Below are 23,573 nucleotides of genomic sequence, written 5' to 3'. Positions count from 1 at the left end.
CAATTAACTTGTCACCCAGGATTTTATTATTCTTTAACTTTTGTATACTCTCTCAGTTCCTCTTTTATCTCCCTATTTCTTTTCCAGTCTCCCTTCTCCCTTCTCTTTGCTTTTTCTGATTTATTGATCCCATACACTTTCTACTATCGTATTAAATATCTGCCATATTTGTTAATTTTCATCATTTCAAAAGGTAAGCTTTTACTTTGGGAATTGAATCTGTAGAGGTTTTTAGCCTTTATAAAAATAATAAACTAAGCTGCCATCTACTAATACTATGGGTTATATGCCTCTGTCAGATACAAAATTTTATAGGCTTACTTTAATTCCATCATGGATAGTATACTAGGGTGCAAGTCTTTTTTTTTTTTTAATACCTCGTCATCTTTCCTCTCTCCTCTTTGTTGGCTGTTACAAAGTACTCCTCTATGACCCTATCCTAGGACAGTTATACAGAGGATTCCTCAAAAAGCCAGGGTTAAAAGTGGATTTGGAGTTAAATAGCTCTATCTTTATCTTAAGCTAAGACTCCTGAGGATGTGAGAGGTGACACACCCCTCCCCACTGGTGCCTGGAGGCTTCTGATTAGTCCCTTCCTCCATGTCTCCCCAGGGGTTTCTAAAACAATTTGTTGAGGGTAGAACAACTCAGTTACATTTACATTCTTAGGACTGAAAGATGATACTAGGTCAGGAAATAGCATTTGAAAGTCATTCTCATCTGGAGGGATGAAGCCAAGATAAGGCGGAAGCCAGGAAAAGGTCAGTTTGAATAGCCTGAACCTGCCCGGGGCTGACCGACCTGTGTGGATTCAGACCCGTGCCTGGAGTAAGGGCTTCTCTGATCACTGTTGTAAAAAGGGAGCCAGGCTGAAGATCCTGGGTAGCCCAGGTCCTTCCTCCTTGGCTTTCTTATTTTCTTGGCTCTGTGGTTCCCCTTGCTGCCTCTCCTGCAGGTGGACTCTAGAGTTTCTTAACAATTGATGGACCTGGCATCTGTTGACTAAAGCAGTAAAACTAGAAAGAAAGAGGGGGGAAAGACCCAAAGGTACTTGCTGGAGACAGATTTTATGGGCAGCGACTTCATGTTCTTTTTAGAGTCACAGGTATAAACAAGCAAATAAGTGTGCACATCTTAACATTTGTTAAAAAGTTTTACTTAACAAATAAGTATGTGAGTTTACTTTTATTTTCTACTTAATTTATTTCTCATACTTTTTTTTAAAATTAAAGCTTTAAGAAAGCAAAGAATGAAAATAGCCCTGATACCCAAAGAAGCAAATCTCATGCACCGTGGGAAGAAAATGGCCCCCAGAGGTAAAGGGAATCATTGTTTTTATAAAGGAGACAGTAGAAAAGGGGTTAGTACATGCAGCTCATTGAATAAAGGAATCCAGCTGCTGGGTGGCTGATCACAGCTAGCTGTGGATAAAGTGGGCAGACTCTAAATCAATGTGACCCAGGGGAGAGGGGCTGGGATTTCTGAAGTGGAAATCAACAGTATGTTTTATAACATGAAACTTTTTCCTGGAAAGGCAAAAGGGAAACCTAGGAAATATTATGAAATTGCCTGTAAGGTAATATATTTCTGAAAACTCTAAATGGCATATTAATAATTTTCCCCATTTCATAGTTTTGGTTAAAAACTTAAGTCAAAAACTATAGCTGATGAATAGTTATGCTGGAAGACCTTTATTCCTAAAAATATGGATATGTCTAGTGTATCTCTGGTCACAACTACCAAACCAGTGACAGACCTGTGTTGTAACTTATAGTTCAAATTCTAGCCCTGCCACTTCCTAGCTACTTTATTTGGGCCACTTAATTAAGTAGTCTATATTTCAATTTTTTTTCTGTTTAATAGGTTTAATAGTTGTATCTCAGTGCTGAAGGCTGATATGAAGATTAGCTGAGATAATGAATGTAAAGTCTTTAGCTGAGTCAGTGTTTAGAAAGGGCTAAATTCATCATATGTATGAATTGTTATTGTTATTTGTGTGTGTTCATTTTTTACTACTGAAGGCTAGTGAGACAAATGGCATTCCTGCAAAATAATGACCTTTATGATTTGATTTGCCAGATCTTACCTCTTTTCTTTTAATAAATCTTGTCAGCAAAGAGAACCACGTGCCCCTGGTGCATGTGCCTCTGGAAGTACCAGCTGTGCAGTTATGAATAGGTCTGGGCTGCGGTGTGTTTTCCCCCAGGAACTCTCTGGGCTCTTTTTGACCATTTTTCTTTCTCTCCAGTGGACTCTACAATTCTCCCAGTGATCGCACTAAGTCGCCAAAGTTCCCTTACACGCGTCGCCGAAACCCCTCCTGTGGAAGTGACAATGATTCTGTACAGCCTGTGAGGAGGAGGTAAGCGGAACACAATCTCTCTGTTAGCAGCTTTCAACAGAAGCATTTTGTCCCAGGCCTGACTTTATAATAGGTGATTCTTATACCGACATTACTGTTTCTCTCCAAGATAACAAGCAGCTTACTCTTTTTGACATAAAATAAGTTAGGAATCCTGAAGTATTTATCGTAAACAGCCAGAGTTTTAGAGAATAATTTCATAAAATATTGGCAGGAACTTGCTTTCTGTATTCTATTTATGAATAATGTGTCTAAAAATAGTATATAATATATAATAAAAATATGTATTATATATAGTATATTACAAAGTAGAGACAGTATATCTTTTTTTTTTTGAGACGGAGTTTCACTCTTGTTGCCTAGGCTGGAGTGCAGTGGCACGATCTCAGCTCACTGCAACCTCCGCCTCCTGGGTTCAGGCGATTCTCCTGCCTCAGCCTCCCCAGTAGCTGAGATTACAGGCATGTGCTGCCACGCCCGGCTGATTTTTTTGTATTTTTAGTAGGGGTTTTTCCATGTTGGTCAGGCTGGTCTCGAACTCCCAACCTCAGGTGATCCACCCGCCTCGGCCTCCCAAAGTGCTGGGATTACAGGTGTAAGCCACTGCGCCCAGACGAGATAGTATATGTTAATATATAAAACATATTAAGTGTTTCTACCTGAGAAGACAAAACTACACTTAAAGATAAGCCTTTTTAGCTGAAAAACGCCTTTTAAAGCACAGAAAAAAATGAATCCTGTTACATTTTACCTATACGGGTAGAGTGTTTGAAGGGATAATATTTGTGTGTGTATGCTTAATTTAAAAAGTTCTTAGCTGGAAGTTTTGGACCTCTCTGCAAAGCAGGCTGGGCAGTGTGACAGGTACAAGAGAGGAAGATGTAGAAATGACTCATCAGTGAAATTCTTTTCACTCCTACATGGCAGGGACTGTGTTTTATTTTGAGTACCTACATAATTGGCATTGTATAAATGACTTTTTCCTTTTTTTGGTTTTTGTGGTTTTTGTTTTTGTTTTTGAGATGGAGTCTCGCTCTGATGCCCAGGCTGGAGTGTAGTGGCATGATCTTGGCTCACTGCAAACTCTGCCCCCTGGGTTCGAGCGATTCTCCTGCCTCAGCCCCCTGAGTAGCTGGGATTACAGGCATGCGCCATCAGGCCCGGCTAATTTTTTTATTTTTAGTAGGGATAGGGTTTCTCCACGTTGGTCTCGAACTCCTGACCTCGTGATCCCTCTGCCTCAGCCTCCCAAAATGCTGGGATTACAGGCATGAGTCACCGCGCCCGGCCTCTTTTTCCTTTTTTAAAAAAATAAAAATGTATAAATTAAAGTAGAGATGGGGTCTCACTTGTTATGTTGCCCAGGCTGGTCTTGAATTCCTAGCCTCAAGCAGTCCTCCCACCTCAGTCTCCCAAATTGCTGGGATTACAGGCATGAGTCACTGCACCCAGCCTAAATGACTTTTATACTTACAAGAAGTTTCAGTTCATGATGTCAGGTAACCATCAAGACTCTTTTTGTGCACACTGCAGGTTTGGAAGCCAAGCCCTTCTTTCACCTATGCCCTAGTTAATACACACTTGCTGGCCTTTTCCTGCTTGATCCCTTTTGCTTCTGCTAGTTTCCCAGAGCTTTGCCCCCAGCTTTCTGAAACCAAGTTCAACTTCACTGAAATCCTTTGATGGTTAAGAAGAGAAGGGTCTATATTACCTTCATGTAGTAGGACTGACATGAGGGTGCTAGATCAGGTCCAACAATGATTAGACAGAATAATAGGGTAATAGTAGGCATTTGTTTGGTATTGCCATATTCCAAGTACTGAGCAAAGTGCTTGCTCTATATTATCTCATGTAATCCCAATAATAACCCTTTGGGAAATGGCATTTGTATTCAGGCATGATGTGATTCTAGCAGAGGGGGATTAAGTAGGGAATTGGTGCAAAGGTATAAGTAGGATTGAAGGTGCAAAAAGCAGAGAGTGGTGTAACTCAAGAGATCTAGCTGCTTTTACTGCCTCTGGACTGAAGGAATGCAAAGAGAGAAGTGGGTGTTACCTGGAGACCAGAAGCCGCTTCCACCTTTGAGCAGGCAATCCTGAGCCTGTGCTTGCTGCTGACAATGCTGCAGGCACCGTGATGGATGCTAGACAGGGACCACTCTTGCTGACACTGCTGGAGATACCACCACTGTAGCCGAACAAAGAACCCCCACTTCTCAGGAGTGCAAGAGTTGATGCCACAGGTACAACTAGAAGGAAAATAACTTTTCCTGTTCTCTGCCTTCAGATCTAACTGGAGTCTCTCTTAACTAGAACCCAGCTGGCAAAGTGTCCAGGAATATAAAATTTCCAGGCTTTCTATCTCTGCAGTAGAGAGTAGATTATAGATGAGTCAGTAGAGGCTGAGTACCAATGAAAAATATTCAGCCCACCATCACCATCTCAGTTTTACAGATGAGAAAACTGAGGCTCAGGGAGATGATGGTAGCTTGTCCTCTGTGGCACACATGGGATTGGAATCCCAGCCTGTACATCTGAAAAAGGTGGAGATAGTGATAGCCCTCATTTAAATAAACTGTACTTCAGCCCTTACTCAGCATTCTCCTTGGGAACACCAAGAGTTGGTTCAATTTGGACAATACTTAAAACCAAAGCAACACCACTGGGAAATACTTTAAAGTGCATTTGTGTGTATTGTGTGTTGAGGCGACATAGGTGGCAGGGATGATTAGAATTTAGCATATATTATTCGTAGATAGAGTTTTATAGTTTTCTACCCTTAATTAATTAGTGCAATTTGTCAGCACTCCCTATATAAAATAATTACACATGTTGAGCAGATAGTCATTTTAATACATTTGAAAATGAGCTTAATTACATTTTGCTAAAATATGGCTAAATTTGCATATTTTCATACAAAATAATTGCTTGAAATAGTTTGCAGCATATACACTCCCAAATCCAGACTTGACTTCTACACTGAGGTTCATTTTCCGCTGGCTTCCTGTGAAACACAGAGAAGTAATTGTGGAGAGTGGATACAGGATCCTTTCATTGGCGTATTCCAGGGGAAGGCTATTTAAATTTGCTGGGAAGAGGATCTTTTTGCCTGAGCATCCATAGAGCCTTTTGCCTGATGCACTTACAGGTCTCTTTTGGGGACGTGTGTTTTGAGGCAATGAGCCATTGCTGCATGTTGACATAAAAAGGACTAAAGCACATTCTTCTCTGTTTCTTCCCAGTATGAATGCCCTATAAGTGTCGTTGTCCTTGTCAGTCTTTTTTATCTTCACACATATTTACCTTGCACTCAGCACAAACCTCTACATTGCTGGATTAACACTGGCATTTAAAATCAAGACATGTCATCAGCATGGAAGAATCTCAAGGACTTAAATTTAATAATAGGAAATTATATTTTGCTTTGGATACCAGGATAATACACTTTGCAATAGATGTCAAAATTTCCTATTTTGTTTATCATGAGGTGGATACAAGCTATCAAATTCTGGCCGAGTCCAGAATAGTGGTCCTTAACCTTTTTGGGTGGTACTACCCTCTGAGATCTGGTGAAATGTTGGATTCATTCCTTAGGGAAAGGTAGGTTCATATTTAAATACATATAAACATCTGCATATAATTTTCAAAATTTATGGAGACCCTGAAGCCTGCTTGTTTAAACGTTCCTATTCTAGAAAAAGAAAGTCAGCATATTTCCTGGTAGTACAATATATTTTCACTCCTCAGCTTTCAATTTTACATTAAAAAATGTTTGGGTGCCTGTTGTATGCCATGCAGTGTGCTGCTGCCATTAGACAAAGTTGTTGTCCTTTGGGAGCTTAGATGCTGTTAAGGGATAAATACATGAGTCATAGGAATATATGTGCCATTGTGACTTTAATACATAATATGAAGGTAAGCTATGTGGTACTTAAGGGAATTTTAAAAACTTTTTATTGAAACCTAGCATGCATACAGAAAAGTACACGTGTCATAAGTGTAATGCATGATAAATTTTTATAAATAGATGCCTGTGTAATGAGCACTGTTAGGGGAAGTTTGCTGAATCACTGAGCCAAAGAGGTTGGGGTTAGTTTCCTGAGGTTGGATGCTTGCGCCAGGATCTGAGATACAAACAGGCTAAAAGAAAGGAGCAATCATACCAGATAGAGGGGCTAGCATGTGCAAAAGCATTGGGAATGGAAAGAAGCAGGAAACCTTCATGAAAACGAAAAAGGCCAGTGTTTATCAGACTCTGAGAGTGAATAAAAATGTGTTAGAAATGAGCATAGAGAGAAAGATGGGATCTGATCTTACAGCCCACCTGGACTTTGTTCAGGATTTTGGTCCTTAGACCAGTGGTTTTTTACAGGAAGTACAATAACATCACATTTGTGTTTGTACAGATGACCCTCACTGTCCTGTGGAGAAATGGTGAAAGTGGGTAGTAGCAGAAGACCAGGCAGCAGGCTATTGTCCGAGTCCTAGCAATAGAGAATGGGAGCATGGACCAAGGTGGTGATGTGGAAATATAAAGAAGTAGATGGTTTCAGTAGCCAGTGAGAGGTAAAATTGGTAGGAGAATCAGTATGAGGGGTAGAGGAGAGGGAGCTGTCCAGAATGAAACCCAGGCTTGTTCAGTTTTTTGAATTCGATGTGTTGCGTAGAAGTAGAATCATCAGGACTTCACAGGCTTGAAAGGGACAATTGCCAGTTTAGATTCTGATATCCTGAATTTATGGTACTTCTGAGAAGTCCAAGTGTGGGATTCACATGGGTTGTGAATGGAAGTCAGGGGCTTGATTTGCTTTATGGACCGAAATATAATCTTAAGTATGTTACTTGAAATATAGAGATTAGGTTGTTTAGGTGGATAGTATAGATAGAATGCAAAAAGACAAAGCCAATGACAGAGTTGTAAGAAGCTCCAGCATTTGGCTTAATTGAAGATTAACTGGTAAAGGAGAAAGAGAGATTGTGGCCATGGAAAAATCAAGAGAGTGAAAATTTGCATACCAAATGTCTCCCTTCTCTCTTCATTCCCAGAATACTAGAATCCAGGCTTATATTACCTAGGCAGAAAATTAGAGAATCCCTTTGTAAGAGATGGACAGGGACAAGAGAAAAGACTATGGATACTAGCTTTCAAAGCATCTTCCATTGAAACGGTTATATCTCCCAGGCATGAGACTAGAGAATCTCACTGCAGGAAATGGACTAGGTACAAGAGAAAAGACTTACATATACTTACTTTCAAAGGATCATCCAGTGAAATGATTGAGGCTGCCCTCATATTACTGTGAGGCCATTAATTAACGTGCACTGCACCATCCAAAGGGCTCCAGTCATTTTAACACTTACTGCTTGAATAGGAAGAGAGAGCCATGAACGCCTGCATTTGAGCATTGCTTCTGTCTAGAAAGGCAGAGACTAAAACAAACAAATGGGGTGTAGGGTGGGGTTGGGGGCATTCTCACAGGAAACAGACAATATAAGAAATAAAAATTTCTAAAAAACTAATTATTTAGAAAGATGAAAAAATATAACCATGAATTTCTATCAATACAAAGGTAAGAACTAATAAATAAGAGTTATTAGGCTTAAAATTAGTGTGGCAGAATTTAAAATGAGTAAAATATTTGGAAGGTAACATTAAGAAAATCTTCTCCAAAACGGAACCAAAAAACCCACAATAAAACAAATGTATGGAAATAAGAATAATAAAATTATCAAACCTAGATATCAAACATTCAACTAATACAATTTCTAAGAAAAAAGAACAGAGAAAACATAGGAGAGGAAACTATTAAAGAAACAGCAAAGCGAATATTCCGGAACTGAAGGATGTGACATTATAGAGAAGAACCCACTAAGCATTTGACATAATCGGTTGAAAAGTTAGATTCATTCGAAGGTTCATTATAACTAAATTTCAAAACATTATAGATTAACAAAGAATTCTAAAGATTTGGAGGGGGCATGGGAATATGGGAGAGAAAAAAATATCCATGTACAAATAGTGACAAATCAAAATGACATTGGGAGCCATGTACGGTGGCTCATGCCTGTAATCCCAGCACTTTGAGAGGCCGAGGTGGGCCGATCACCTGAGGTCAGAAGTTCAAGACTAGCCTACCCAACATGGTGAAACCCTGTCTCTACTAAAAATACAAACTAGCCAGGCGTGGTGGTGCATGCCTGTAATCCCAGCTACTGGTGGAGGCTGAGGCAGGAAAATCACTTGAACCCGGAAGGCGGAGGTTGCAGTGAGCTGAGATCGCACCACTGTACTCCAGGTTGGGCCACAAGAGTGAAACTCCGTCTCAAAAAAAAAGAAAAAAAAATTGGGCTGCTTAACAGTAATATCAGAGGAAGAAGGCAAAGAAGTATTGCCTTCAGAAGTCTGAAAGATTATTTTCAGTTTAGGAGTCTATGCCCAGATAACCATAATTGTTTGTATAGAATAAAGACATTTTCAGAAATTTTGGGTTCCAAAAAAGTGTATCTGTCATGCAAATTTTTCTGTTAGCAACTAAAAGATACACTTTACCAAAACCCAGACAAGTAGCCAAAAGACCTGGAGATGTAGGGTCCATCATATCAAGAAGCAAAAGGAGTTCCTTGGATCATGGTAAAGGGGAGTTAGTCAAAGGTCCAGGTATGAGCAGGAGGGCAGAGGGCTCCAGGAGGGATAAATGGAACTTGCAGATTACCTGAGTATCCATCCATAGCAGGAGTTTTGCTGTTCTCTCAGAGTTTGAAGAATTAGTGATAAGCAAAAGAACCCTAAGCAAGTGATATGTACATGGAAAACTTAGGCAAGTATCTTCTCTTAGAAAATTTAAAACCTACAAAAGAATGGAATCATATTCCTGGAACACTATTTAGATCGTCTGTGACCAATTTCGGTATAATTGTGTTTATGCTAAATAGTGACCCCAAAATTTGATGTAAGAACAGAGACCACATATTGCTGTTCATGTTATTTGATATAAGTGTGTTGGAGGAAATGGAGTAACGTAAGCCATACGTTAAAGAGATCAGAATGGGAAGGTGCTAGATTACAGATTGTAAGGAAATGGAGCATGGGGCATAGACACCACTCTCCAAAAGTTTGGCTTTGAAGGAGAGAGGAGAGACTGGGCAGATGAGGGGGGATGTGGACTCAAAGTAGGTCTATGTTTGTTTAAACAGTAGAGTCTTGAAAAAGTTAATAGCTTGTAAAAAGAGTCTGCTAGACGGGCAAGGTGACTGTGTGAGAGGTGGGAGGGTAGTTAATGAAAGTCATTGAAAAGACACAGGGTGATGGGACCACAAAGCACTGGTGGAGGGACTAACCTTGGTAGTAAGGATAAATCCATAAATAACAGAGAGGAAGATGTTGGTAAGTTTTTATTTTTGGTAGCAGGAAGATGAAAGAGTTACATCTGGAGGCTGCTTTTTCCTTCGGAAGGAGAAAACAAAATCATTTGCTGAAACAGGAGTACTGTGGGTCAGAGGGTTGCAGGGTGGAGAGTTTGAAACCACTTTGTACTTAGATCTGTGAAAAGTGGCAGGATTGCTGAACCGTGGTGTGGCCCCACTTGAAGTTAATGAACATGGATTTGTAGTGTAATACACCGCTTTTGTGTGACTCCTTCCAGCACTGCTCAGCCAGCTGTTTAGGACTGATCCAGAAAACTTGCATAGTTGGATTCACCCATGCCTGGGATTTTGCCAAAAAGATGGAATGAAAAACAGAGTTGAGGAACATGTTGAGTATCAGCATGCATGTTATTGAAATGATGGATTAGGAAATCTAAGCTGAGTACAGAAGACAGTGAAGAGAAGTGAAGAGCTGGTGGAGAGTAGCCAGGTCAATAGATAGTCTTATTGGGGTCAAAGAAAAGGAAGAATGGAAATAGTTGAATAAGCAATAACAGCTTATCTTGGTTGAGTGCTAACAATGGCCCAGGTCCTAGTGTATGCATTTTAAATGTATTAATTCGTTTTATCCTTTAGAGGAGACTTTAAAGGAGATTCTATTAAAAATGAGTCACTGAGTAGAAAAGTAACTTATTTAAATCACATAACTCATCAGTGGAGAAGATGGGATTCACATTCATGTTGTCTGGCTCTAGAGCCAGCACCTTTAACCAGGATGCCCCATTGAAGCTGTTTGAAAGTAAATGGCGAGTGGTAAACAGGAGGAAGAGGAGATTGTGGTAAGAGAGCAAAGTGTTTGGAGGTGGTTACAGATGATAAAGTCGTAAGTATGAGGTAGGTTGCTGAGTTGAAGTGGAGGAGATTATGAGAGAAGAGATAAAGAGAATTTGGAGCCTCAGGGTATGGGAAAGGGCATCCAAGTGAGATGATGTCAGTTCCACTATGGCAGAAATCAGCTTGGAGGATTGCAGTTCTGAAACTGCAGACTAACCTCATCATTGGATTAATGGAATTCGGACGGTTTGCAGGTTCCACTAGAGTGAGGCCAGGTGATGTTATTAACATTATATTTCTGGGACGTGTTGTATGTAGGGTTAGGCATATACATATGACGTAAATGTTTGGCAAATGAATGAATGTATGACAAATATGTGTTAACTGAAGTGAAACTCATTTTGGTGTGCTTTCCTTAGCCAATTGATAATCTCCTGTTTTCTTAAATGTCTTCATTTGTTTTCACAGGAAAGCCCATAACAGTGGTGAAGATTCAGATCTTAAGCAAAGGAGGAGGTAAAAAAACAAAAATGGAAGGACAGTCAGAGGGAAGAAGGGTTAGCAGATTTAGAAATGCTCAGAGTTAAGGAAAGAGCGGGGGCATTATTTTTTTTTATTTTTTTTACTTTCAAAAGCCAGTTTGTCTTCAGCTGATTCCCAGTCTTCCATTCTGTTGCATCCTAAGACTGTGCTGTTTCCTGCTCCTTTGTGTCTCAGAGGAGCTGTCTTATTTATCTGTTGCCATATTATAAACCACTGCAGAACTCAGTGGCTTAAAGCAGCAACAACTCTATTTATCTAGTATAATTCTGTCCATTGAACAGGCAGCTTTTTAGCTCGTCTTGTTCACGATTTCATGAGGCTGTGGTCAGATGACAGCTGAGGTTGTGTTATCCAGGGGGCCTTTCTCTTTCGTGTTGGCATCTTGGCAGAAAGGCTGGAGGCCTGGGACCTCTCTGCATAGTTTCTCCACCTGGCTAGCTTACACTTCTGTAGACACTTCTTTTACACTTCTTTAGGCTGGGAGGAAGCAGAAGCTACCAGTCGGTTAAGGGGCTAGTCCTGGAACTGACATAGTATCCCTTCCACCTCATTCTATTGGTAAAATCAGTCACAAGACCAGTGTAAATTCAGAGGATAGGGAAATAAACTCTACGTCTCTCAGTGGGGCGGATGGGAGGGTTACAAGATTTTGTGTCCATATTTAGTCCACCACCGACTTACGGCTTTGCCATGTCAGAGTTCTGTTGGAAGTGATTGATTTTGCGGTCCGTTCTGGGAACATACTGACATTCACCTTAATCGGTTTTTATATTTCCCCTGCATTGCCATTTCCCTGAGCTATAGACTCAGTCAGATGTCTTACTGAGTTCAGAAACACTGACTTGGAGAGGGATAATACAGCTCTTGATGTTTGGATTGATAATTTTACTGCAAAATGAATTCCAGAGGACCCATATAAACCTTTCTGAAATTGTTCGTGAGTTATAAATGTGTGTTTTTTCTTTTGTTCTTACCTTTTTGTCTTCAGGTCACGTTCACGCTGTAACACCAGCAGTGGTAGTGAATCAGAAAATTCTAATAGAGAATACCGGAAAAAGAGAAACAGGTAATATCTCAATATTATAATTAACTGGCACTCTGAAATCAGAGGCTGCCCTTGGTGGTAGAAACTGAGTGTCCTTTGTAAGTCTGTTTTTTCCATCTGAGTCTGAGAAGCAATCTGGCACTATTTTGAAGCACTTAGTTTAGGAAACTTTAGCTCTTTGAGTGGAGTTTTCTTATCTTCACAATAAGATGATTAAACAACTTGACAATGAGGTCCCTTCTTGTGTGTGTGTGTGTGTGTTTTAAAAGATGATTCTGTATATAGCTACAATGTGTAGTGAATTTCTCTAAGGCTGGTAAGAAAGTTTACCATTCGTAGATAGATTTCTCCCTGAACTATCTTTTCAATGGCATTACTATATTTTACCCAACCAAAAATAACTCATTGTTTCTTAGATTCTGCGGTTTCAGGCTTATGTATATATATATATGCTAATAATATGTGCATTTACTCATCTGTGTGTGCCTGACATTCCATATATGTAAGATAGATTTTTAAGATATTTTTAATCACATCATTTGACATGTAGTCAGTATTAGTGGTGGCTTAATGCATTAATCAGTTATCCCTAGTTCCAAAATATGCACTCGAAAACAAGAAGTATTTGTGTCATTAATGAAAAGAGCACCTTGGGAGTCAGAGGGATTTGGTTGCCAGTCATGCCAGTTGTTAACCCAGTGGTTCTCAACTGGGGGAGTTTTGTCCTCCCTGCCTTCTCCCCAAGGACATTTGGCAATGTCCAGAGTCATTTTTTATCGTGACAATTGGATAGGGGGATTGCAACTGTCCAAGGATGCTGCTAAACATCGTGCGATGCACAGGACAGGACCTGGCAACAAATAAGTACCTAGTACAAAAACATATCAGTAGTGCCACTGTTGAGAAACCTGTTTTCACCTAATGTGGACCTCTGGCTTGGTTGCTTTACTTTTCTGGGTAATTTTTTTCTCTTCTGAAAAATGAGGAAGGCCAGGTGCGGTGGCTCACGCCTGTAATCCCAGCACTTTGGGAGGCCAAGGCAGGCAGATCACCTGAGGTTGGGAGTTCGAGACCAGCCTGACCAACATGGAGAAACCCTGTCTCTACTAAAAATACAAAATTAGCTGGGCGTGGTGGCACATGCCTGTAATCCCAGCTACTCAGGAGGCAGAGGCAGGAGAATCGCTTGAACCCGGGAGGTGAAGGTTGCAGTGAGCCGAGACTGTGCCATTGCACTCCAGCCTGGCAGCAAGAGAGAAACTTCATCTCATATAGAAAAAAAAAGAAAGAAAGAAAGAAAGAAAAGTGAGGAAGTTGGATTGGATAATCTCCAAGGTCTTTCTTTAATGCTTAGAACCCTTGCGCTTGGCACAAATTGAATCAGTGATCCTCTAACTACAAAGCCTGTGTAATAATAGCCCAGACAGCATTGTAAGAGTGGACATTTTTTTAGGAAAGCATTCTATGTGGAGCCTTCTGAGGCTGGAATTACACTAGACAGATGGGAGATCTCAATGTGTTACGACACCTTTCTCAAAGAAATGATTTCAGTTTCTTCTTTGAAAACCCATATGTGGGAGGTAGCTCCTTCTTAAGTATCCTCTTTCTGATAAAAAATTCAGTATTTCTGCGCAAACAACACAAAACAAAGCAAAAATACCCACTTATTTTCTTATTTAACACTTTTTATTGATCAAGCCAGTATTTTAAGTCTGTTTCTGTTTTACCTAATATATTCTAAATTGTGCCCATAAGTGTTCTGTTCTCAACTGTTCAGAAGGTGGCCCTGAAAATAAATAAAATAAAACATTTTTGGGGGAGCCAAAATTGCTCACAGTACCATTCGCTACTGAAAATGAAACACTAGTGAAAGGTTGCCATCAAATAATTAAATTGCTCATACTGATCTGGTTGCACTGGCTTTAATATTTCTTGTAGGTATTTTCTCCCTTAAGAGTTTCTTCCCCCTTTTTCCTGGACAGATTAGATTGGCTTTCTTTGTACTGTGTAAAAAGTATATTTTAGAATAACGGTGATTCTGAATGTTTAATGCACTTTGTAAGGCTAGTAATGAGAAATAGCTTTCAAAACACATTCCGACACGTTTCATGCAAAAAATCCAACAGGCCTTCACAATCATTTATGCTACGTATAGAAATATTGCTCTAGGAATACCTAAGTTGCCTATGGCTGTAGAAGATGTGGTATAAAGTCTGCCTGTCAGTAGCATAGCAAAAAGTGGGCAGAGGAAGAAGAAATATAGCTTTCAGTTCTGATCCCCACCACTGCAAATTCTGGCGCAACAGGTAACTGTACAGAGAAAGAGGGTGGAAACTCATTGTGCTGTCTGTCTCTTGGTGCCACTTACCTGCTATGCTGTGCTGCTGCCAACCCCTCCATCCCATCATTAGCCTCTTAAATTTTGCCGGAACCCACTCATCCCACATGAGGATGCATAGGTCTGGATATTTCATCTGCAGCCCTGCAGTCTCTTCAGCCTCATTCGTCCTTCCTTTTCTTGGCTGACAGTGTGATCCAGCCAGTTCTCAGCAGTGTCCTTTGTGCTTTTACTACAGCACTCCGGTAACCCAATAATGGGGCAAACAGAATCTTGTACATGCTGATGTTCTACCTCTTGCCCATAAGGTCTCTAAACTCAGCCCCAGGTTGCTTCGTTACTTTCCAAGAAAAGCCTGCACGCCGATGCACCCTGCTTTCCTGTCTCTAGGAAACTGTAGCCTATGGAGAGGGACAACTACCGGGCAAATTTGCTTTTTAGAACCTCTTTTGGAGCCCGTGATGTATCCATTGGAACTCCGGACAGAGTCACTTTTACTTTCTGGAAGTTGCATGTGGTCTTTGGGATGTTGCTCCCTCTGCTACTCCTTCTTGCAGGATTTTTTTTTTTTTTTTAAACATAAATGAGGTCTTTTCTGTTAGGCATGAGGCCACTCCATGGAAATATTGTTTTCTTTTTTCCACGAAGTCAACCCATTGGAGCATAAGCTGCTTTACTGTTTCCATGGATAACCATTTAAACATTTCTCATTTTGTGTGAAGAGAAAGAAAAGTTAATAAAACAACATTTATGAATCAACTTTACCCAAAACAGGCTTTTGACAACCATTAAATTTTAAAAAATAATAATCCACACCAGCTCTGGAAGGCTAATGTTAGAAGCAAAGATTGTTGTTTAGTTTCAATTTTAGGAAAATATAACTGTAAATAACCACCCCATCTGTCTGTCCCCTTTGGGTCCAGAGCTAACAAGGCTCTGTGTGTAAGGGCCCTTGTGTTAATTGTGCCCTAACTGTAGGGCTTCATCCTACCGTGTTTCCTAGAACACCAGAGTAATTCACCCTGCTTCTTTATTTGGGACATCGTTTATGTTTTCCCTTACCCCTTTCCACTTTATTCTTTCTTTACTGTTCTCATAATCCGGTTGGGTATCCTACAGCTTTCTAGGTTTTGAGATTTGAGATGATAATTTTTCACTCTCTTTTTATAACCAGATAGAAGTTGGAGGCACAGTTTTTTTTAATAATATTTAAGATGACAGAAAGTTCTTATTTCTCCTTTTAGTTTCTCTACTACATCCTCATCTCCCTCTCCATTCTCTTGCTTCACTTTTCACTTTTTATATCATATTATTCTCACCCAGTTCCTTTCTGTTTCCTGGGCTTCCTTTCCAGTCTTTTTTCTTTCTTCTGTTTCCTTTGAATTCCCTCTCTCCCTAGGAGCCAATGGTATGACACAGAATAACCTGAGGACTTGGGACTGGGTCTTGGTTTTGCTGTGTGCTGATACTTGACCTTGGGCAACTTGTATAACCAATTCAAGTATTAGTTTTTTTCTCTTTAAAGTTGGCAGGGAGTGGGGGGAGGTATGCTATAACAACTGATCCATTTTGTTGAATGAGTTACTGTAAAGATCAAATGAAATGTAAGAAGTGAGAGCACTTTGAAGTACAGAGCCACGTAGTCCTATACCCACTTCCAGAGTTACTCACTGCTACGGCATCTCCTGTCCTCTCCTCCATCCTCTTCCAACTTTTCTTTTGGTCCTATGTTTCATTTTCCCACCTTTCCTAACTTTATACCTTTGGTTATTTTTACACCAGGATTCTTAACTTGTGATTCATGGGTAGGTGCTGGGGGTTTCATAACCCCATGAAATTGTATGTAAAATTGTATGTGGGCGTCAAGTGCGTAGTTTTCTAAAGATAGGGTCTGTAGTTTTTATCAGATTCATAAGGGGGTGTTTATGTAACACCCCCCCCTTAAAACTTACAAAGTTTTATCATCTAAATAGTGAAGGATTACATTGTTACTGGGAAATGAAATTGGTGTTTCAATTCACTGGTAGGATTAAAAACTAAAATGCCTAAACTTTCTTTAGAGATTACTTTGCTATACTAATTTGTGAAACAGTTGATTCTATTGAATTCTTGAAGTTGGGAACCTACCTAGTACAAGGCACTATAAAGTTAATCTACATGAATATTAGATTCTATTAGTTAGAATTTTGAATCTCGTCCCTGAGATCAGAAGGGCCAGCAGCTCGCTTATTGCTGTAGGTTTGAGACCATGGGCCATGTGCTGGACTTGCCCAGGGTGTAGGATGAAGGAGGACCTCGCAAGTAGACTTAGGAGAGTGAAACCTTTGATGAACTAGCTTTACCTGGATATGTCTTAAGCTTAATAAAATATCCTTGACATTCAAGGAAAAGGTTCTACAAAATATCCTTTGTGCTATTGATGAAAATCAGCAGTCCTTTGAGCATTCACTGAGGAGAATCTTTGAATTACTCATTCATTCATTACCTTTGATGTGTTTCTAGGCTCTTAGAAGTTTGGAAGTGGGAGATGTGGAGGAGTGGGTGACATGAGATAGTCTGGTGCGTTTTTTTCCATCAGCATAAAAGTAGAAATAACTTGGGAGCCTACCAAGTATTAAAACAGAGAAACGAGAGCAGCTTAGGGTAATAGTAGAACTAGAGGAAATTGACAACAGGGGACTATTTGAACGTTTCCCTAATTTTATTCTAGGATGTTTGCATCATAAACATGAGTCATGTACGTCAGTGTCAGGCTGCATGTTTGTGTACATATATATGTACATGCAAATCTGGGAGCCTGTACTATGAAATTGAACCCACTTTGAAGAATTCTGTGGCTTTGAGCTGGTTACTTTATCCTGTGAATCTTCATTTCTCACATGCAAAGTGGAATAATACCTGACCTGCCTACCTCACTAGAGGTTTGTGAAGTTCCCGAGATAATAGATGTGCTTTGAAAAGTAGAAAGTGCCCTGCACAGGCAAGTTCTGTTAAATTGATAACATCCAGCACTGCTCAGTATTTTCTGAAGTTCCTGCAGGATCTGTAAAATGGGGACCAGCTCCCTTGAACAAGAAATAAGTCAGTGTTTTCTAACATGAGTTTGTTCTGGCATGAATGTTGCTAGTTTCTCCCTAACAACATTGGGGTCTTTTAGATGTCTTTTAGGGTCTACCAGATGTCTACAGTATCTAAATAGTAGATTAAGACAGATTTAAATATTTTAATTATGTTCCATAAGGTCTTTTATATTGTTTTTCTAAAATGAGGAAGCACATTTCTGTGTGAGAAATTTGGCACTGTAAGAGGGACAATATATCTGACTAGGGCAAATCTAGAAGATCACAATTTTGGTAGGATTTTGTTTTGGGAGTGGTAAAGAAGAACTTTATTGTCCCTGTACCCTAGGGAAAAAATATATTTGGGATGTTAGCAAACTTAAACTGATGGGCATTTCTTCCGTCTTGCTTGAAAATAGGTAACCGCTTCCTTGCCAGGAACTGCCTACTGTCCTGCCCCTGATTTAGGGGCTGCAAACGAGGTAAAAATTTTGGGTACGGAGAGAAGAGTTCGTACAAAGCTAGTGGAAACAGTGTTCACCGTACTGCAGATGCAAGGGTTTCTGATTTCTACTTTAATAGGATATATCAAGATTTAGACATTTGATATGGTTGATTTAGGGCTTCCAGAGTATAATCAAGGTTGGCAGAGATGACTGTGGAAGGACAAAGCCGCAGCAACTGAGGAATGCTGTTACATTACTGAGTGAGGGCAAAATAGGTTAAAAATTCATGAAAACAGGAGAGTTTGAAAGGGAAATTGCGCCAGAGGTAGCCCATTGTAGTAGTGGGCACGTAAGGAATAAGTGGAAGAGACAGAAGTACCTTTAAGAGCAAATAAGAATAATTTATTGATGGTAGAGACAATGGGAAAAGCAAATGAACTTTTTGCTTGCTGGTCTTAAGGGAGTATGTCGACACATGCCTGGAACCAACATACATTTCCCTAGGGAAGAAAAACTAGAAAAAAAAAAGATTGCTTTATAGCAGGTGATCCAAAAAAAATGAGTACAGTTGATGAGAAACACAAGTTCACAATCAGTTGGGGCCTGCAGATTTAATTTTGGCAATGGAGGGGCCATGTGAAGCAATTGTCTGGAATGTTATGCTATAGTTGAAGAGTGTAAGTTTCTTTCAGTGTGTCTGTCTGGTTTGGAAATAAAATACAAATAGAGAAACATCAAGTTTTAAAGCTAGAAAGGATCTTTGCCATAATTTTATATATGAACAACCTGAGACTTGACCAAAAAAGATAAGCAGTTTGTCCAAGGTCTCTGAGTCAGATAATGGCAGAGCTGGGAATGGAGAAAACTCAGGAGCAATGTTTATGGCTTGTATCATCTTGAAGCTTCATTTTACATTCTCTCTGAAAGACTTCTTAGATTCAGCATTAAGCATGGTGTTTATCTCAGTGAATTAGAAGTGAATTAAGAACTTATGTAAAGAAAGGTTCTGTTAGGAGCAAAACTGCTAAAGGGAGAGGACACAATAAAACTCGGGGATTTGTGTAAGAATTCATTGGTAATGTGAAGAATTTTGCAAAAGAGGAAGGACTGTAATTGGTAAGACAGGAAAGAAGAGGCTAGGAATAGTCATTTTCTTCATTGTTATCAAATGATTATATGGCATTTCATCTTCAAAACCTTTGCAGACCTTAATTAAATGTCAAATGCAGTTAAAATCTAAATTGTATGGATAGTCTGGAAAAGTAGAGTGTTGAAGTTTGGTAAGAGATGGAAGAAATACATTAGAATTCTGTTCTGAAACATGGTTAGAATTTGCTGTATTCTAAAGCAACCCTCTCCCTTATACATTAACTGAAAAACAAAAACCTTGTTATGATATACTTCCTACCACAGTTGTTGACCCTCCATAGTTACAGATGGAGAAATTGACAAAATAGGATAAATGTAGACTTATTGGATCAATTAGTACTGGAAATAAATGTTTGTTAGTTTATTGAGGTTCACCTTTAGATGCAACATTTGAAAATTAATAGATCCACAACATAAATGACAACGGACTCTTTTTCCTTTTTGAGACTTTGATGACTATGATGTAAGAGCACATTTTGACTTTTTAAAAGGTACTATGTCAAAACAATGTTTGTGGTATTTTATTCTTCATGATGTAAATCTATACATCGAGATTAAAATAGAGCAGGAAAGGAGCAAAAAACTATTTGGATCCCCCATACCTGAGAATAAATGAGACTTAAAAAGTCAGAATTATCACAGTAAACATATCTTTTTCATTTAAAGATTTCTTTATTCACTCATGCATAAACAAAATAGTTACTCCTGCCTCTTAAGGACAAAGTGCTACAATATTCTTGCTTCTAGGGCTAGGATTTTTTTCTTTCCAAGTAGCACCTGTGTTTTTTGGAGCGGTTCAGCAGTGGAAGAAATGACACTTTCATTCTTGTAATGAGGCACCATTAACTAGAGGTCTTTTGTAAGGATGTAATTTCAAACTTCATTACAGGCCAAGGCCGCCACACTACCCATTACTCAGGAAAATGTGCTTCTGTTGTGACTCTCCAAAGGCTCTTACATTTTTAATGCATCTTGTTAGAATATTTATGAAACAGCATCGCCAGTAGAGGGCATCTGTCTTTGAAACATGTGGATCACAAGGATATTAACTGACAGGGTTTCACTGCCCTCACTTTAGACTTTTCAGTTAGAAAAAAAGGTAAAGGTACATGTATAATCTTGAATTCTTTCTGATTTGGTCCTTATTACTATTATAGCAGGATACAGGAAATACGCATGCTTATGTCTCAGGAGTTTTAATTTTTTATCATCAGAGTGAAGTCTGAGTATGAGGGTAGCCAGCTGAATTCCACAATAGATGAGAATGAACATACAGTAACTGTGCTTCCTTTTCAGTGTCTGTTACTCTAGGAAAAGTATGTGTTTGCCCAAGTTAGGCCTCAGCTTTGTTAGCAGGTTTGACCTCTCAAAAATATTTAGACGCCCCGACTTCCTGACACAAACATTTCACATTGTAAAATTTCGTTCTGCCCATCAACTGGACAGTGATTTTGTTCAGAATGAAAGCTGCATCCTAAAAGACTCCAGGGTTAGGAGTTAGGAGACCTGAGTTTTGTGTCCAATCCTGGGCCCAGCAATCCAGGTGTGGGTTCCTGTAGGAAGGGAGATGCCACCTTGCCAGCGCAGCACCTTCCCCGTGATTGTCTCTTCCTAACCCTGACCCCTCAGTCCTGGGGGTGTCCAGGACTGCTCCCCTACCAGCAAGCCTTGTGGGTTTCTGACTGTCACATGAACACAGAATGGCTTTTAGGTGTAGGTTCTGGCTACAAAAATGTGTGTGTGTTTACAGCACACACGGGTACCAACATGCCATTTTCAAATGGGAGTGTTTGTTTCAAAGAATGATTAATAATTATGACCTCAAGTAGTATACCTTCTCATAGTTTTCTTCAGATATTTCTAATATTAAGGTCCATAGCAGTATATGTTCAATTTAAATTTACTCTGTACATGCAATGAGAGAAAGAATTATGCTCTTAAATCTGTGAAAAATACCTTGACAGTATCCTGTTAATCTTCAAATAATAGCCTATTAAAAATGAAAACTTTAGTGAGGAAATACATACACTTCAAAGGCTTGGAGTATGTTACAGATAGTTTTTTACTTAGCACAATTCTTCTTTAATCTAGAGAGATTTAAACAGTTTCTTCCTCACAAAGTGCTGTTCTTTTCAACTTGAATTTGCTTTACATTATGTCTAAGTTATATGTGAAATGAATATTTGTCACCCATCCACTGATTTGCACCTGTAAGCAAATCCAGATATCCAGCCCACAGTCTATACTAAGTGCAATAACAGAGGAACCAAAAGACATCTGTTCAGAGAAGGAAATGCCTCCAAGCCTGCCTGTTCTTTTTACTTTTGTCTCGAAGCAGTTATGCTCATGCAGTTGCAGTACTGGGGTGAGTGCCTGGCAATTCCATGCCGCTCTGTATACCCTGGGAGATGAACACTCTGGAGCAGTTTTCTGAAGAGCTTACATAAATTAGAAGTTAAATATTCAAATAACAGGGGTTCCGTTTTGCCAAAAAAAAAAAAAAAGGCTTCACAGCATCATTGTGGTGCATTCAAGACAGTATTTCACATAAATTAAGTACTTCTTCTCTCCTGCCAATAGTGCACCTCATTATTTGAAAGACTTGATACCTCGGAAGTCCAAAATTTCTGCAGGTTGAGTGTGGTCCATGGGTTTTGTTAAGTCTATATCATGCTTTAGAATTGGTTGCAAGACTTAAAAATTAGAAGAGTTCACTTTAAGAATCCAGATTTGGGGATTATCTTTTTTTAAAAAAATGAGAGGATTTGGTAACACTGTCTTGTGATCTTACATGTCAAGTGCCTGTGCTTCCAAGTCTTTCCCACCTTTCTCTTTTCCTCATTTTCATTCCTTCCCTGCCCACATCCAGCATCCAACTGTCATTCCGTCTTAAACATGTGAGCAGCCATGATGGGAATGGTGTGTCTTATTCAGCTAATGCATTATGCCACCATATTTAACTTTTTGTACTTCTAGATTTCTCTCTCAAAAAATGGGAATTATATTTGGCACCTATTTTTAATGAAAACTTTGACAATTAGCTTGACTTTTTAAGAGTATTTCAAAGTAAAACTATTTATTACTATTTTGACTAGCACATTTAAAATAATGATTTTGTAGCATTGGTTAAGATTGGCTCTATAGCAGACACCAGAGTTTCTTTAGTCGAAACTTAGAAATGTTTAAAATAAGTTTTTGATACATGTCTTTTTCCTAGAAAATTAAAATCAGAAGTCTGCAAATAATGTGTTTACATATATCATGAGTATTATTTACTTCTGAGGGTTTATATATGCTTACCTACATATGGATATATTAATTCAGTTAATATGCATCTTTAGCTATAAATGATCATAATAAAATTTCTGCTGCTTAAATAACATTTAAAAGCAAGTTTAGGATGAACCTAAAACGCGCCATCCATGTAGATGTTAACTTCAGATGCATGGCTTTCCTTTCAGAATACGGCAGGAGAATGATATGGTTGATTCAGCGCCTCAGTGGGAAGCTGTATTAAGGAGACAAAAGGAAAAAAACCAAGCCGACCCCAACAACAGGCGATCCAGACACAGATCTCGTTCGTATGTGGACTCTTTTTATACCTTGATTCAAAAACACTGAATTTGAAGTAGCATGTGGATATTCAGGTCTTCTAAAGTGTTTTAGTTCAACTAGGATTATTTCATTGTTTATTTGTCATATTTACCTTCTAATATTTGTGACATTTATTAACCATGTTTGAAGCCATAGAAGTTGAAGCACAGTCAAAACAAAATGTCATGAAAACAAGGCCCTCAAAGCCATATTTTTGTTTTGTGTTGTTTTTAACCAAAGTATACATTCACCTGAATAAATAGGAATAGTCTTCTTTGTTGTAGAGCCAGGCTGTTGGTGAAATACCTGCTGCTTCTCAGTTTGAGTCTGCACAATTCTCTGAAGTCTTGTTCCAGACTGAACCAGATGTGAATATCTTCCCATCAAAATACAATTTGTGAACAGTAGTCAGTGAGTGATTCATTACACCTCAGTGTTGGAATTTGCGTGCTCCTCCTGTTGCTAGGCAACGCCATGTGTGAGCACAATTACACCGTAATGGTGTGATTGCCAGTCCCCCAAATTAATTGTCTTTGAGCTGGTAAAGTTTCTGTGCGTGTGTGTTTTAAATCTGTGCATTATCAAGATTTAGACGCCTCACTCCCACTCCACTTGCCAAACCATGGCTCACCTTTTTAAAGTGAGCCAAGACTAAGTACAGATCCTTTTGTGATCGTGGGTAGTTAGATGTCTGATGTTGATTACTCACAGGAGGAGGGATTAAGTCCAGTCGTGTATGATAAGGAAATGAAAGGATGTTGGGTAGTGGAGGTAGAGACTGGGTAGGTAGGTAGGGAGCTCTGAGGGAGCCAGGCAGGAGGGTGACAAGAGGACAGCTG

The 23,573-nt window shown here is 39.3% G+C and overlaps 1 protein-coding gene and 1 long non-coding RNA gene across 16 annotated transcripts in view; one reads left to right on the top strand and one right to left on the bottom strand.

The window, feature by feature from the left end:
• Positions 1–23,573, top strand: part of EPB41L4A (erythrocyte membrane protein band 4.1 like 4A) — a 278,107-nt gene that overhangs the window by 213,199 nt on the left and 41,335 nt on the right. For 12 of the 14 annotated variants that reach the window (XR_001742173.3, NR_144931.2, XM_011543531.4 and 9 more), the window contains 5 exons: positions 1,233–1,316; positions 2,249–2,362; positions 11,029–11,076; positions 12,092–12,169; positions 22,602–22,721. Coding sequence is in view for 12 of the 14 variants with exons in the window: in XM_011543531.4 (XP_011541833.1) it covers positions 1,233–1,316; positions 2,249–2,362; positions 11,029–11,076; positions 12,092–12,169; positions 22,602–22,721 (444 nt within the window). In the remaining 2 variants the exon portion in view is untranslated. The remainder of the gene's footprint in view (positions 1–1,232; positions 1,317–2,248; positions 2,363–11,028; positions 11,077–12,091; positions 12,170–22,601; positions 22,722–23,573) is intronic. The other 2 variants (XM_011543533.3, XM_047417476.1) reach the window with 1 other exon arrangement.
• LOC124901044 (uncharacterized) lies at positions 5,194–12,140 on the bottom strand. 2 transcript variants are annotated; one of them, XR_007058902.1, is made up of 3 exons: positions 12,078–12,140; positions 7,613–7,724; positions 5,194–5,365 (listed from the first exon to the last, which is right to left on the bottom strand). It is a non-coding gene; the product is annotated as an uncharacterized LOC124901044 (long non-coding RNA). The 2 variants fall into 2 exon arrangements; XR_007058903.1 differs by lacking the exon at positions 7,613–7,724 and having other exon boundaries at positions 12,078–12,132.

Source organism: Homo sapiens, chromosome 5, assembly GCF_000001405.40.
Source record: "Homo sapiens chromosome 5, GRCh38.p14 Primary Assembly".
Classification (NCBI taxonomy): Eukaryota; Metazoa; Chordata; class Mammalia; order Primates; family Hominidae; genus Homo; species Homo sapiens.
Note: the sequence above shows the minus strand (reverse complement) of the source record. Positions and strands in the feature narration are given on the sequence as shown.